Source organism: Homo sapiens, chromosome 19 (assembly GCF_000001405.40).
Source record: "Homo sapiens chromosome 19, GRCh38.p14 Primary Assembly".
NCBI lineage: Eukaryota > Metazoa > Chordata > Mammalia > Primates > Hominidae > Homo > Homo sapiens.
Window position 1 is genome coordinate 57,349,202 of NC_000019.10, and position 14,003 is coordinate 57,363,204.

The following is a 14,003-nucleotide window of genomic DNA, read 5'->3' on the forward strand; positions in this document are numbered from 1 at the left end:
ATACAGATAATGAGTGGTCTCATTAATCCATAGATGCACTCCTCTCTCAGATCCTCATTTCTTCTATCATCACAGACCATCACCTGGGATCACTTTCCTTCAACCTTAAGAAGGATCTTAAAAGTGTTATTTTATGCCAGTTATTTTTATCCATTAAATTTCTCATTTTGGGCTTCAAATAGTCTTATTTCAGTTTTTCTTAGCCAGTGCATTTGTCGTGCATAGAAATCTGCTGGCAGTTATATCTGTAACTGACTCCGTATGTTATTCCATGTGTTCCTGACACCTAAATTTATATTGGCTTTGAGTGGAGACAGATAATTTATATTATACATATATATAATTATGTATGTGTGTATATAAACTACATGTGTATATATATATAAATGCTGTGTGTATGTGTGTATATATATTTTTTCTCAAAGATATGAATTATTTCTATGTCATCTCATAAAATAAACCAGGTTATAAAATTTTAACTACAGTGACTCTTAAGTGGACAGTGGAGTTAAAAATTATGAAGAGCAATTAGTCTTGATAGTTCTGTGTTTTGAATCATACAGCCTATAAGAATGTGTCTTCTGGACGATAGACCTACCTGTAGTTTATGAAACCCTCTTGCATGTGATTTTTTTCAATTAAATGAGTCTATTGATATATTGGTGTGCTTTTGTGCAAAAATTATAACCATTAGGGGCTCCCACCTGTAATCCCAGCACTTTGGAAGACTGAGGCAGTTGGATCACCTGAGGTCAGGAGTTCGAGACCAGCCTGACCAACACGGAGAAACCCCATCTCTACTAAAAATACAAAATTAGCCGGGCATGGTGGCGGATGCTTGTAATCCCAGCTACTCGGGAGGCCGAGGCAGGAGAATCGCTTGAACCTGGGAGGGAGAGGTTGCAGTGAGCTGAGATCGTGCCATTGCACTTAAGCCTGGGCAACAAGAGTGAAACTCTGTCTCAAAAAAAAATTATAACTATTATCTATGATGCTATTTGATGAGTGAGGGAATAATTGTACTTTTTTCTTTTTTTTTCAAAATCACACTGATCCTGAAAAGGTGGATCTTTGATTTATCTTCCTAAAGCAGTGTATGTGAGAACCTTGTGTTGAGGAAGACTGATAACAGCTTGTATGTATTTAGCACGATGTGCCAGGCCTGGTGTTAAGTACTTTTTACCTCACTTCCCATATTCCTAATGAGGTTGGTTGTAGTGTTTTTCATCTTACTGATTTTTTTTTGTTTGTTTTTGTTTTGTTTTGTTTTTGGCTAATGACTTTAAAAGACCTCCAGTTCTTGAACTTCAGCTAGGGTCCCATCCCCAGAGTTTATCAGAAGGTATAGGTTGGGTCCAAGAATTCACAGGTTTTTTAAGTTCATAGTGAAGCTGATGCTGTAAAACTACATATCAAATTGGGAAGCAATGAATTAGAAGAGGCTCATGTTTTCGTCATGTTACATGTAAGTTCCTCCTTCACTTTTCGCCATGAATAAAAGTTCCCTGTGGCCTCACCAGAAGCAGATACGGGCACCATGCTTCCTGTACAGCCAGCAGAAAGGTAGCTAATTACATCTCTTTTCTTTATATGTTAGAAAAATTAGAAGGACATTCAATGTTTTACAAAAAGGCCCACAAACGAAATACAGACAACGTTCAATTTATTAATACGTTTCAATCCCCAAATCTGAGAGAGGTGAAGCAGGTTTCCCAGGGCCTCAGAAGCAGGATTGAAGAATGGGTCCCTTGCTGGCGACTTCAGTGGCGTGGCATTGTCCCAGGTGGCCATGGAAATCAGGGTGCATACCCTTTAAAAGCAGCTGTGGCCTCCGAGATATCGTTTTCCCAGTCTTTTCTCCCCCTCCCTGCACGACGCCTCTTGGCAGACATCCGGGAGAACCCGAAAGGCGCTCGTTGCCTGGTTGGATGCAGGGTACAAACTACGTTACCCAGAAATCTGTGCCCAGCTCATTGTTAGCCGGCGTGCAGCCAATGACAGCCCAGAAACTGGGCGTTTCCTGCTGCTCTGGGCTGCAGGGGCGAGACTTCTGGCGTCGCCGTCGTGACGTATTTTTCCTATGCCCGGTCCGTGCATTCTGGTTGTGAAGGCTGAGTTCTAGAGATCGGGTCGGCTTTCTACGCGGCTCTCGTGGAACCTAGCAAAGAAAGACAGTGAAGACTGCAGGACCTTCCTTCGCGCTTTTGTTACAATCCATGACCCCTGTCGTGGGACGGGCGGCCTCTCGCGGAGGTGTCTGCCGGGGCTGGGCTCTTACCGAGGCCTCCACACACGTCCTCTTGTCCTTGTCTCCCCCAGAAGCAGCCGCCTTAGTCTTGTGAGCGTTTTTACACCGGGTAGATTGAGACTTGGAGTGCTACACTCAGCCCGAGGGCGTCCAGCGCGGTGGAGGCGTGGGGTTTCGGCTGAGCCCACAGGGCACAGACTGTTCATCCGCTTCTCATGGCAGCGGCGGTGCTGATGGACCGGGTTCAGGTGAGTGGGGGCATCCCTCAAGCGCACCCCGGCCTGGTTGGTGTGTCCTGGGATGTTCGCTCTCATCGCGCACTTCAGGGTGCTCACTCCGTCGCATTATGTGGAGGGGTTCCGCTCCCCTCATCAGTGGCATAAGGTGTGGAACGGACTCGAAGGCGCAGGGGCAGTTCGTACAAATGCATGCATGGAGAGGAGAATGAGTTTGGGGAGTTCCGGGAACTCTCTGTGCCTGGTGAGAACAGGGACTAGGGGGTCAGAGGTAGGCCTGGAATGGCCGCCCGAGGAGCTGGTCCTCTCTTCTGAGGGTGCTGGGAGTCATGCAAGGTTTGGTACAGAGAAGGGAGGTCCTCTGACGCAGTTCTTAAAAGGCTCCCTCTGGCTGCAGAGTGGGTAGACTAGGGATTATAGGGTAGACGGGGAGATCAAGATGAAGTCTACTGAAATAGTCCAGGTGAGCGTTGATGGTCTGGGCCAGAGTGGTGGCAGCAGAGGTTAGAGAATGTATGGGTTTTGGGTTTTGTATGTATTTTATAAGGAAGGCTGACCAGATTCTCTGATGAGACATAGTGATGATATCCTGGGATTCTTCACATGACTGTCTTCACTTGAGACAGGGGGCAGTGAATGGAGGTCATTTCTAGTTTAGTGTCCTGAATCCAGGCCATGAGTTGTATGGAGTTATGTGGAGAAGTCCCCACCTGGCGACCAATGGGATGAGTACTGCAAAAGTATATCAGACCTAGGAACAGGTACGCTCAAATGCTTGTAGGATTGAGTTTGGAGCGCTCAGGGAATCTCAGGTCTTAATTACCTTTGTTGGAAACAGGTATCAGAGGAAGGAGTTAGGCAGGAATGGCTGGCCGAGGTGTCTTGAGTGTGGTAAAAGTCGTGGGAGATTTGGAGCAGAGGAGGGAGATGATCTGACTCAGATTTTAACATGCTCTCTCTGGCTTTCAGGTTGAGAACAGACTGTGAGCATGAGGGAGCAGCTACTGCAGTAGTGTTGATGGTGTCTGGTCTAGAGGTGTGGCTGTGGAGGTGAGAGAAGTTGGTAAATTTTCTGTTTTTTAAAGTAGGGTGATTGGATTTTTTGATGCGAAAGGTGAAAGAGAGGAGAGTCGTGGATGACCCTAAGGTTGGTTTGTTTTTGCTGTAGCTGGTAAAATTATGAAAATGCCATCAACTGAGATAGAGAAGTTGGCAGCAGGTATGATTTTTAGTGGTTATATCAGGAGTTAGGCTTTGGTCATGTTTAGGTTAAGAGGTCTCAGTTGTCATCTTAGTTGAGGCCTCAGGAAAACACACAGGTTTTTAGTTCTGGGGAAGGGTTCTGTTGAAGAAGTTGAAAAAAATGGTGGCCAGTGTGTGGAGTGGGATGGGGTATCTTCAAATCATGGTGGTAATGCTGTTATTCAGTAAGAAAGTTGAAACTGGACACTGAGAGAAAACTGGGTCTGTTGCTTAGGCACCTGGACGGCAGTGGTGGATAGTGTGAAGACGCGAGCGCTTCCTGGACACTGCTTGCAGAGTGGCATGGGGGATGAGGGATGTCATGGAGGTGCATATGGCATGGGCCAGTGGCGGTGGGGATCTCAGATGTGAGGAAGGTGTAGTCCAAAGAGTAATGAGCACGTTGGGAGGAGTGTGAACTGATGCCCTTAAGACTCTAGTATTGGCAGCTCATGGGAGAAGATGGAGCTGAAGTTTGGTTGTGTTTAGAGGCATCGTCTGGACAACACCAGGAGAACTGGTTGGTAGGCGAGTATTTGGGACCCTTCATGCCAGACCCAGAGTTGAGACAGCATCTGTCTGCACACTTGCCTGGTTCTGCTCTGGGCTGGACACAGTGGTGAGAGGGACATGAGGAGAGAGCAGACACTAGTGGTGCCAAGGTCTGTTATCTCCTCTTAGTTGGGAGGCTGGGGAGGCGAGGGACTAGAGAGTGGGTGTGTGAGTGTGTAGACTGGGGAGGAGGGGGTTCTGGGGAGAGATGCTGACTGTGGACTCAGCTGTACTTATCATGGCAGAGTTGTGTGACCTTCGAGGATGTGTTCGTGTACTTCTCTCGGGAGGAGTGGGAACTCCTTGAGGAGGCACAGAGATTCCTGTACCGTGATGTGATGCTGGAGAACTTTGCACTTGTGGCTACACTAGGTAAGTCTGTGTTTTAGTTATCTAATGCTACATGGCAAATTATCCCAAAGCTTAGTAACTGCAAACAATAAAAATCAATTATCTCTCCAGTTTCAGTGCATTGGTAATCTGGTTAGAGCATTTTTTGTTGTTTATTATTTTGAGGGTTTTTTTTTTGTTTTTTGTTTTTTGTTTTTTCAGAGAGTCTTACTCTGTCACCCAGGCTACAGTGCAGTGTTGTGATCATGGTTCACTGCAGCCTCAAATTCTTGGGCTCAAGTGATCCCCCCCACCTCACCCTCCTGAGTAGCTGGGACTATAGGTGCATGCCACCACGCCCGGCTATTTTACTTTTTGTAGAGATAAGGTCTTGCTACGTTGCCCAGGCTGGTCTAGAGCTCCTGACCTCAAGCGATCCTTCCTCCTTGGCCTCCCAAAGTGCTGGGATTACAGGCTTGAGCCAGTGTGCCCAGCCTGATCACACCTTCTTATGCAGGTGCTTTTGGCTCTCATGAAGTTTTAATCAAGCTCTCAGCCAGTGTTGTGGTCTTACCTGAGAAGAATCCACTTACAAGCTCACTCACATTGCTTTTTGCAAGATTTAGTTTCTTGTGGCTTGTTGGACTGTGAGCACTGTTCCTTGCTGGCTGTTGGCCAAAGTCCTCCCTCAGGTGGCCTGTCTGTATTGTACCTTATGACACAGAAGCTAACTTCTCTTTGAGCAAGTGACCAAAAGAATGTTCAAGATGGAAGCCCAGGATTGTAACCTAATCTTGAAAGTGTCATTTCATTATTTTTGCCATATTCTATTCCTTGGAAATAAGTAAGTCCATCCAGCTTACAATCAAGTGAGGAGGCTTACACAGGGGCAAGAGTACCAAGAGGTAGGGATCACTGGGACCATCTCAGAGGCTGTGTTCCACAGGCCTTTACACCCACTCCGGTGTCCTTGGTGGGGTTTGAGTCTTCTTCTCTTCCCCATGGGCCACTCTTTCTGTCCATCCAGATCCATGACTCTTCTCCTTCCCTTCTTTGTTTCCCAGAGTAGGTGCTGTGGGTTCTAGGGCTGGCTGTGTTCAGTGTTTCTGCCTTCACTGGGTAATCTGAACATCTGTTGCCCTAGAGCTTTGCAGGAAAAGGTTAGGATTCGGGAGTTTTTCAGTCTGCTAAGCAGATTCTACACAGCTCAGGTGCCCACTGCCTGAGTCCGTGTCATGATCTTTGCACCTCTTTGTCCTAGATTCTGCCCTCATCCTCTGGCTGACATTTCCTGGGGCCTGACTGTGCCAGGAATTTCAGGGGCTGACACAGTCACTTCTTGTGGTGATTACAGGGCTGTCCTGGTACATCCGCCTTGGAGAGTATTTTTTCTAAACATTCTATTTTCTCTGTGGAGTGGGTCTACCTGCGCCACTCACCTGCCCTTTGTTTGCGTTACAGCTTTCATTTTCCCAGTCCCATGCAGTTGCGCAGTTGGAGGGGGCAGAAAACCTTGGGTGCCTGACAGGGCAGACATCACTGCAGCCACAGTAAAGGAGACCTACAGAGGGCATGGCCCTGCTGAATGGGAGCTGGAAGAGGGTATCTGTTATGGTTGGGTTCAAATCGAACCTTCAACTTGTTTTGTGTTTGTCAGTGTTTTGTTGCCAAGGCCCATAGTGATTCTTCACATCTACTTTACTTTCCTCATTCTTGGCACTTTTTCCATTTGTCATTTCTCACGTGTCTTCCATCCTTTGGGTGTTTTCCCACTTTTCTGGCCTCCGTGTTTCAATTGCTCTCTTCAACACTAGCTTACTTTAATGTGTCATGAGTTCTGCACATTAAATAGTCCGTGAGAATGAGCTACTTATTTGGAGTCAGATTTTCGTGGGCATGGACATACCCATCTGCACAGAGCTCACCTGACACCAGCGGCCAAGGCCCTGCTGAAACTCTCTTGCAGAGGAATCAGGTAGAGGCTTCACCTATACTCCCTATACTCTATGCCATTGTTTTTAGGTCTTTACCTCATAGTCAGGGTTCCTCCATTCTGTGAGGCCCTATACTGACAACCAGCCCTTCTTTACACTGATCCTGGCCCTCTTGTCCTGCCAACAAGCCAGTGGACTCGCACTGGTGTTAGACACACATTTGTGATGGGGCTGCTGCCTCCCACCAAAGTCAGCATGCACTTCACCAGCTCTTTTTTGCTTTCAGGTTTTTGGTGTGAAGCAGAACATGAGGCACCTTCTGAGCAGAGCGTTTCTGTAGAAGGAGTGTCACAGGTCAGGACTGCTGAGTCAGGTCTTTTCCAGAAAGCACACCCATGTGAGATGTGTGACCCACTCTTGAAAGACATTTTGCACCTGGCTGAACACCAGGGATCACACCTTACACAGAAACTGTGCACACGTGGGCTGTGTAGGAGAAGATTCTCGTTCAGTGCAAACTTTTACCAGCACCAGAAGCAACATAATGGAGAGAATTGCTTCAGAGGGGATGATGGAGGGGCCTCATTTGTGAAGAGCTGTACAGTCCACATGTTAGGGAGATCCTTTACGTGCAGGGAGGAAGGGATGGACTTACCAGATAGCTCTGGCCTTTTCCAGCACCAGACCACTTACAATAGGGTGAGTCCATGCAGAAGGACTGAATGCATGGAGTCTTTCCCACACAGCTCCAGTCTCAGGCAACACCAAGGAGACTATGATGGACAGATGCTTTTCAGTTGCGGTGATGAAGGGAAAGCCTTCCTGGACACCTTTACTCTTCTTGACAGCCAGATGACTCATGCTGAGGTGAGACCCTTCAGATGCCTACCATGTGGAAATGTGTTCAAGGAGAAATCAGCTCTTATTAATCACAGAAAAATCCACAGTGGAGAAATATCTCATGTGTGTAAGGAGTGTGGAAAAGCCTTCATTCACTTGCACCACCTAAAAATGCACCAGAAATTTCACACTGGAAAAAGACACTATACATGCAGTGAATGTGGGAAGGCCTTCAGCCGCAAGGACACACTTGTTCAGCATCAGAGAGTTCACACTGGAGAAAGATCTTATGACTGCAGTGAATGTGGAAAAGCCTACAGCAGAAGCTCCCACCTTGTTCAGCACCAGAGAATTCACACAGGAGAAAGGCCTTATAAGTGCAACAAATGTGGGAAAGCCTTTAGCCGTAAAGACACACTTGTTCAGCACCAGAGATTTCATACTGGAGAAAGGCCTTATGAGTGCAGTGAATGTGGAAAATTCTTTAGCCAAAGCTCCCACCTTATTGAGCACTGGAGAATTCATACCGGGGCAAGGCCCTATGAATGCATAGAATGTGGAAAATTCTTTAGCCATAACTCTAGCCTCATTAAACATCGGAGAGTCCACACAGGAGCAAGATCCTACGTGTGCAGCAAATGTGGGAAGGCCTTTGGCTGCAAAGACACACTTGTTCAGCACCAGATAATTCACACTGGAGCAAGGCCTTATGAGTGCAGTGAATGTGGGAAGGCCTTCAGCCGTAAAGACACACTTGTGCAACACCAAAAAATCCACACTGGAGAAAGGCCTTATGAGTGTGGTGAATGTGGTAAATTCTTCAGCCATAGCTCCAACCTTATTGTACACCAGAGAATTCACACTGGAGCAAAGCCTTATGAGTGCAATGAATGTGGGAAATGCTTTAGCCACAACTCCAGCCTCATTTTGCACCAGAGAGTTCACACAGGAGCAAGGCCTTATGTGTGCAGTGAATGTGGGAAGGCTTACATTAGTAGCTCCCACCTTGTTCAACACAAGAAAGTTCACACTGGAGCAAGACCTTATGAGTGCAGTGAATGTGGGAAATTCTTTAGCCGCAACTCTGGCCTCATTCTGCACCAGAGGGTTCACACTGGAGAAAAGCCTTACGTATGCAGCGAATGTGGGAAAGCCTATAGCAGAAGCTCCCATCTTGTTCGTCACCAGAAAGCTCACACTGGAGAAAGAGCTCACGAGTGCAACAGTTTTGGTGGCCCTTTAGCTGCATCTCTTAAACTTGTTTAACACCAGAAAATTCACACAAGAGAAAGGCCTTATGAATGCAGAAAATATGTCATCTTGTTCATCCTCATAGGACTCACACCAGAGCAATGCTCTGTGAGTACCCTTTGTGAGGGAACCATCAGCTAGCAGATGAGCACCGTATATTCATTCCACCCTGGGGAGATTCCTGATAAGCACCACATATGTGGGAGGCTTTCATGAGGTGTGTTGCACTTTGTAACTGTCTAGAGCTCTTGATGGAATTATATCACTGCCAGTGCCTGTGGCGGAAGCCATCTTATTGCTACCAGCTGTGTGTGTCAATCACTCCATTTTGCTCAGGGAAGGCAGACTTCTGTGCTTTCTTTCCTGTTCCCTACAGGTAATCATGAATATTTTCAAGGACTTCCCCCCCCCCCCACTTCACCCCCTACCATTGAGGGTCCTCATCTTTTCCCTCATGATTAGGTTCTGAGCAAACATGATCTAGCTCTCACCAAAAGGACCTGAGCTAGGGTCTGCTGGGATTTCCTGACACGATTTTCCATCTTCATGGACAATGTTAACTGTAAACGTGATAGCTGTGACTTACTTGTCTTACTGCCAAATCGCCCAAATTTGGAACTGCTTGTCCCATGCTGCTCTGATTTATACAGTGATAAGGGCCTATTGTGGCAGTCTTTACTCTTGGGGATTTTGTTACTGTGTAGAGTGGATTGAGAAAAGAATTGGGTTCTGTCATGAAGGGAGTAGCACCTTTTGTGGGCACCACCTTTATGTGCCTCAGAGGGGACCAAAGGATGGCAGAAAACTGTTCTCAGTCTAGTTTGACCTAATTTACACTATTGCCCTAGGCTTGCTAGGAAAGACTGAAAAAATTTTTGTGCCTAACTTTGTGGCCTGGCTGCCAGGATTTCCTGTGAGCCCAGTGAGGAGGGCATAGTTGGTGCGAAAATCTCCTGTGCTTGTGGAAGCAACATAAGTTGGGTCCCTTAACTGTCACGTACTCCCCAGCACTGTTGAGGGATTGCTGTCTTCTGTACCTGTACAGGATCAAGTCCCTGATATCCAGAACCCCATAGGCAAGTAACATTGACTGTAAGACCTCTGTAGGGCAATGTGAAAATCATGATTGCTACAGAAGCACTGAGATAATGGAGTGGGGATGACTGTGGCAAACAAAAGGAGATTCGAACATTCTAGAGGGGCATCCACAAGTCTCGGTGCAGTTATGATGGTGTGGGATGGGAGTGCATAGAAATTCTCAGGACCTTCAGACATCTGTATCTCCTGTGGCCAAGGCCACTGTCAGAGGAAATAATCTAAATGTTTGTGGATTCCTGTGTCTCCCTGGGCAGTTGACCTGCACAGACAGGAACCTCAGCAGTGACAGAAGAGAGATCCAGGGATGGGTCTTCTCTGACCCAGCCAGCATTCCGAGTGACTGAGGTGGATGTGGACATCATTGCTTACCAATTTTTACCAACATTGAGGCAGGGCTCACTCTCCTAAATTGTAGGGAGAGGAATATGGTAAAGCCAAAATAGTTGACAGATCTAACTTTCCTAGTGGAACAGTATATATAGATTTTAATGAGGAACATTTATTTAATAGCTTTATGGAGGTATGATTAACATGCAATAAACTGCAAATATGTAAAGTGTAAAATGTGCTGTTTCAGCATGTGTGTACACCTATGAAACCACCACAGTCAAGATATCCAACACAACAAAAGATTGTCCCTTTATAATCCTCAATTTTTCCTTATCTTGTTTTCCACAATTCACAAGCAACAGCAAGCATTTTCTATAATTTTATAAATGAAACCATATGGTGTGTACTTTTTAGGGGGTGGGGCTCTGGCTTTTTCAGTAAACATAACTATTTTAAGGTTAATCCATTATCTTGTTGCATGAATCAATTGTTTGCTCATTTGTATTGCTGCGTAGTATTTCAGTATTTCATTGTATACCACAATTTTTCTTCTTTGTCAACTTAATTGTTATGGATGTTTGGGTAACTTTCAGTTTTTGGCTATTACAAATAAACCTCTGAAGATTTGTGTGCAAATTATGGCTGAATGATATTCCATTCTATAAATACACCTCAGTTTCTTTATCCATTTACTTATTGAAGGACGGTTGCTTTCAAGTTTTGGCAGTTATGAATAAACCTACTACATATTTGTATAGTTTTTCTGTGGAGATGTTTTCAACTCATTTGGATATGTGCCAAGGAGTGCAATTTTCTCTGTCATATAGCATGTTTAGTCTTGTAAGAAACTGCCAAGCTGTCTTCCAAAGCGGCTGCACCATTTATTTTATTTATATATATTTTTTGAGACAGAGTCTCCACTCTGTCACCCAGGCTGGAGTGCAGTGGTATGATCTTGGTTCACTGCAACCTCCACCTATTTTAGTAGACATGGGTTTTTACCATGTTGGCCAGGCTGGTCTCAAACTCCTGACCTCAAGTGATCACCCTCCTCGGCCTCCCAAAGTGCTGGGATAACGGGGGTGAGCCACTGCAACGGGCTGTGGCTGTACCATTTTTGCATCCAACTAACAATGATTGAACATTCCTCTTGCATCTCATCCTAATCAGCATTTGGCATTTTCAGTATTTTGGATTTTAAAATGCCATTCAAATAGGTGTGTAGTGGTATGCCATTGTTGCTTTTATTTGCAATTCCCTAATAACACACAATAAGTATCTTTTTTAAAGGCAGGGTTGTTTTGTTTTGTTTTGAAATGGAGTCTTGCTCTGTTGCCCAGGCTGGAGTACAGTGGCATGATTTCGGCTCACTGCAACCTCCACCTCCCGGGTTCAAGCGATTCTCCCACCTTAGCCTTCCAAGCAGCTGGGACTACAGGCACCCGCCACCATGCCCAGCTAATTTTTGTATTTTTAGCAGAAATGGGGTTTCGCCATGTTGGCCAGGCTGGTCTCGAACTCCTGACCTCAGGTGATCTGTCTGCCTCGGCCTCCCAAGGTGCTGGGATTACAGGTGTGAGTCACTGCGCCCAGCCTGGCTGGGGTTTTTTTATGTGAGTTTCACACACCTCTGAGTAAGTGGCTTGCAGACAGAGAAGTTAACAACTTTGGCTGTTAGCTTGAACCTGTGATTTATGAATACCAAAAAGACAAATACAGAATCTAAGGAAACACATAACAGTCCTGTATACACACAGCAGCTGGCAGCCCTATTCCCGGTGTGTCCCATATACCTACCATTGACCTGAAACCCAGTTTGTACGTGCTCATTGAACATTTTGTAGAGCAGTAAATACACATCATCACACAGATTGCCTACTCATTTTTATTTTTATTTTTCGAGACGGAGTCTTGCACTGTCACCCAGGCTGGAGTGCAGTGGCGCGATCTCTGCTCACTGCAACTTCCACCTCCTGGGTTCAAGCGATTCTCCTGCCTCAGCCTCCCAAGTAGCTTGGATTACAGGCACCCGCCACCATGCCCAGATAATTTTTGTATTTTTAGTAGAGACAGGGTTTCACTATGTTGGCCAGGCTGGTCTTGAGCTCCTGACCTCGTGATCCGCCCACCTCGGCCTCCCAAATTGCTGGGATTGCAGGCGTGAGCCACCGCACCCGGCCTTCATTTTTATTTTTTGACAAGTGTTTCCATTTGTTATCTCTATCCCTCCAAACAGTTAATAAGCGATGTTTTCAAGTATGAAATAAGAAATACATATAGGAGACAGAAGCATAATGTGTCCAGGTTCCAGCACAGCCAGTCTCAACTTCATTCTTTGACTTCTCAGACTCTTGCTCAAACTCTACTGTAACCTTGCTTTTTCCCCCCTTCACATGTCACAGAGAGATTTCTGTAGGACTATTTCTGCCACTAGTTTTGAAATAACATAATCACTGTTAGTCCAAACTGCACCATCCTGTAAGCCCCCTGCCATCTCACAGACCTTGGTCAGAGTGAAGCATTCCACGGAGTGAGGGCCTTGAGAAACATCCTGCCCAACTGCCTGACTTTCTTATCACATCGTTCTGGGAAAAGATCCAAGGAAGGTCACTATCACATCCTGCCGGATAAAAGGCCAAACTGCCTCAGGAACATCTTACGCACATCCTTTGGCCGGGTGCTGTGGCTCACGCCTGTAATCCCAGCAATTTGGGAGGCCGAGGCGGGCGGATCACCTGAGGTCAGGAATTCCAGACTGGCCTGACCAACATGGTGAAACCCTGTCCCTACTAAAAATACAAAAAAATTAGCCGGGCGTGGTGGCACGCGCCTGTAAAGCCAACTACTCGGGAGGCGGAGTTCAAGAATCGCTTGAACTCCGGGAGGCGGAGGTTGCAGTGGGCCGAGATCACGCCATTGCACTCAAGGCTGGGCGACAAGAGCGAGACTCCTCCAAAAACAAAAAAAAACCCACCATCCTCCTGGGCAGCAAGTCATACCCTCCCGCCGCGCCCCCTGCCCCCCACCCCTGACCCCTCTCATCCAGGCCTATAATTGCCCCAGCCTGTAAGCAGTGAGGGGTTCTGGCACTAAGCTAGTTCTCCCCATCACAGGTCTCGTGCTGGACATAAAACCTGCATTGCTGTAGAGCTGCCAACTCTGCCTTTCTTTAACCCTCGCCTTCCCTTCAAAACCTAACAGTTATTATTAATAGATTTCTGTAATTTTCATTTCACAAGTATTTTCACAGATAATTTCAACTCCCTGTAAAATGATAACTCACTTCTCAGGAAGGAGATAAGATCATGAAAGTTCACAGTTTTTATTGGGGATAATACGTTCCCTGTGTACATATACTCCAACTATGGAATGGCACAAAATGTCCTGTCAGGAAATGGCATGTATCAGTCACTCTCATTTTCAGACAGGATTGAGACTTTTAAAATAAATGTAAAATATTTCAGACATGAAGTAATAAGTATTATTAGAATAAAAGCATTGCACTCTTGGTAGGAACACAATCACTGACTCTACAGACAGTAATGATGTTTTCTTCTGGATCCAGAGGCACAGCGTCACCCTTTCAATCTACGTCGGTATCTCCTGTCTTCTTTTGTGCAAATTCCCAGCCATGTAGTCTTTCTTTGTTCTCTTGGACCAACCATATTGAAGCTTAATAAATAGAAGTCAAAGTTTAACTGTATGTGTATTTGAAAAGCAACATATGGCTGAGAGGCATGAGTAGAGACAGAGTGCCTTTGTGGTATAGTGTGTCCCTTTGGCGGTGTAGCCGTTGAGAACTTGCTGTGCTTCACAATCCGATATCATAGGTCCCTCACATTTCTGTGAGTATCCTAGACCTTACTTCAAGAAAATCTGGTTATGTCGCCTTTAAGAGCAACCCAAGCCCCGTCCTGTCCGTGGAGTCCGGCACTCTGTTTA

At 46.0% G+C, this 14,003-nt stretch overlaps 1 protein-coding gene across 5 annotated transcripts, besides 6 other annotated features; it reads left to right on the forward strand.

The window, feature by feature from the left end:
* Window positions 1,246-2,105: an enhancer, noted in NCBI's record as "H3K27ac hESC enhancer chr19:57861815-57862674 (GRCh37/hg19 assembly coordinates)". NCBI's record gives its function as "activates a minimal SCP1, AML or CMV promoter by ChIP-STARR-seq in naive H9 embryonic stem cells {active_cell/tissue: H9 hESC(naive)}" and the evidence as "EXISTENCE:reporter gene assay evidence [ECO:0000049][PMID:30033119]".
* Window positions 2,063-2,152: an enhancer, noted in NCBI's record as "active region_15133". NCBI's record gives its function as "activates an Ori minimal core promoter by ATAC-STARR-seq in GM12878 lymphoblastoid cells {active_cell/tissue: GM12878}" and the evidence as "EXISTENCE:reporter gene assay evidence [ECO:0000049][PMID:35858748]".
* Window positions 2,063-2,964: a biological region, named in NCBI's record as "H3K27ac hESC enhancer GRCh37_chr19:57862675-57863533".
* ZNF304 (zinc finger protein 304) lies at window positions 2,070-10,697 on the forward strand. Of its 5 annotated transcripts, XM_011527145.3 has the most exons (5): window positions 2,070-2,496; window positions 3,454-3,534; window positions 4,524-4,650; window positions 6,070-6,210; window positions 6,829-10,697. In XM_011527145.3, exons 3-5 carry the CDS (start codon window positions 4,617-4,619, stop codon window positions 8,646-8,648), a joined length of 1,995 nt encoding a protein of 664 aa, XP_011525447.1. In that variant the 5' UTR covers window positions 2,070-2,496; window positions 3,454-3,534; window positions 4,524-4,616; the 3' UTR covers window positions 8,649-10,697. The 5 variants fall into 5 exon arrangements, with proteins under 5 accessions (XP_011525447.1, NP_001277248.1, NP_001316385.1 ...); NM_001290319.2 differs by lacking the exon at window positions 6,070-6,210; NM_001329456.2 differs by lacking the exon at window positions 3,454-3,534 and having other exon boundaries at window positions 6,070-6,583.
* Window positions 2,106-2,964: an enhancer, noted in NCBI's record as "H3K27ac hESC enhancer chr19:57862675-57863533 (GRCh37/hg19 assembly coordinates)". NCBI's record gives its function as "activates a minimal SCP1, AML or CMV promoter by ChIP-STARR-seq in naive H9 embryonic stem cells {active_cell/tissue: H9 hESC(naive)}" and the evidence as "EXISTENCE:reporter gene assay evidence [ECO:0000049][PMID:30033119]".
* Window positions 2,303-2,372: an enhancer, noted in NCBI's record as "active region_15134". NCBI's record gives its function as "activates an Ori minimal core promoter by ATAC-STARR-seq in GM12878 lymphoblastoid cells {active_cell/tissue: GM12878}" and the evidence as "EXISTENCE:reporter gene assay evidence [ECO:0000049][PMID:35858748]".
* Window positions 13,903-13,982: an enhancer, noted in NCBI's record as "active region_15135". NCBI's record gives its function as "activates an Ori minimal core promoter by ATAC-STARR-seq in GM12878 lymphoblastoid cells {active_cell/tissue: GM12878}" and the evidence as "EXISTENCE:reporter gene assay evidence [ECO:0000049][PMID:35858748]".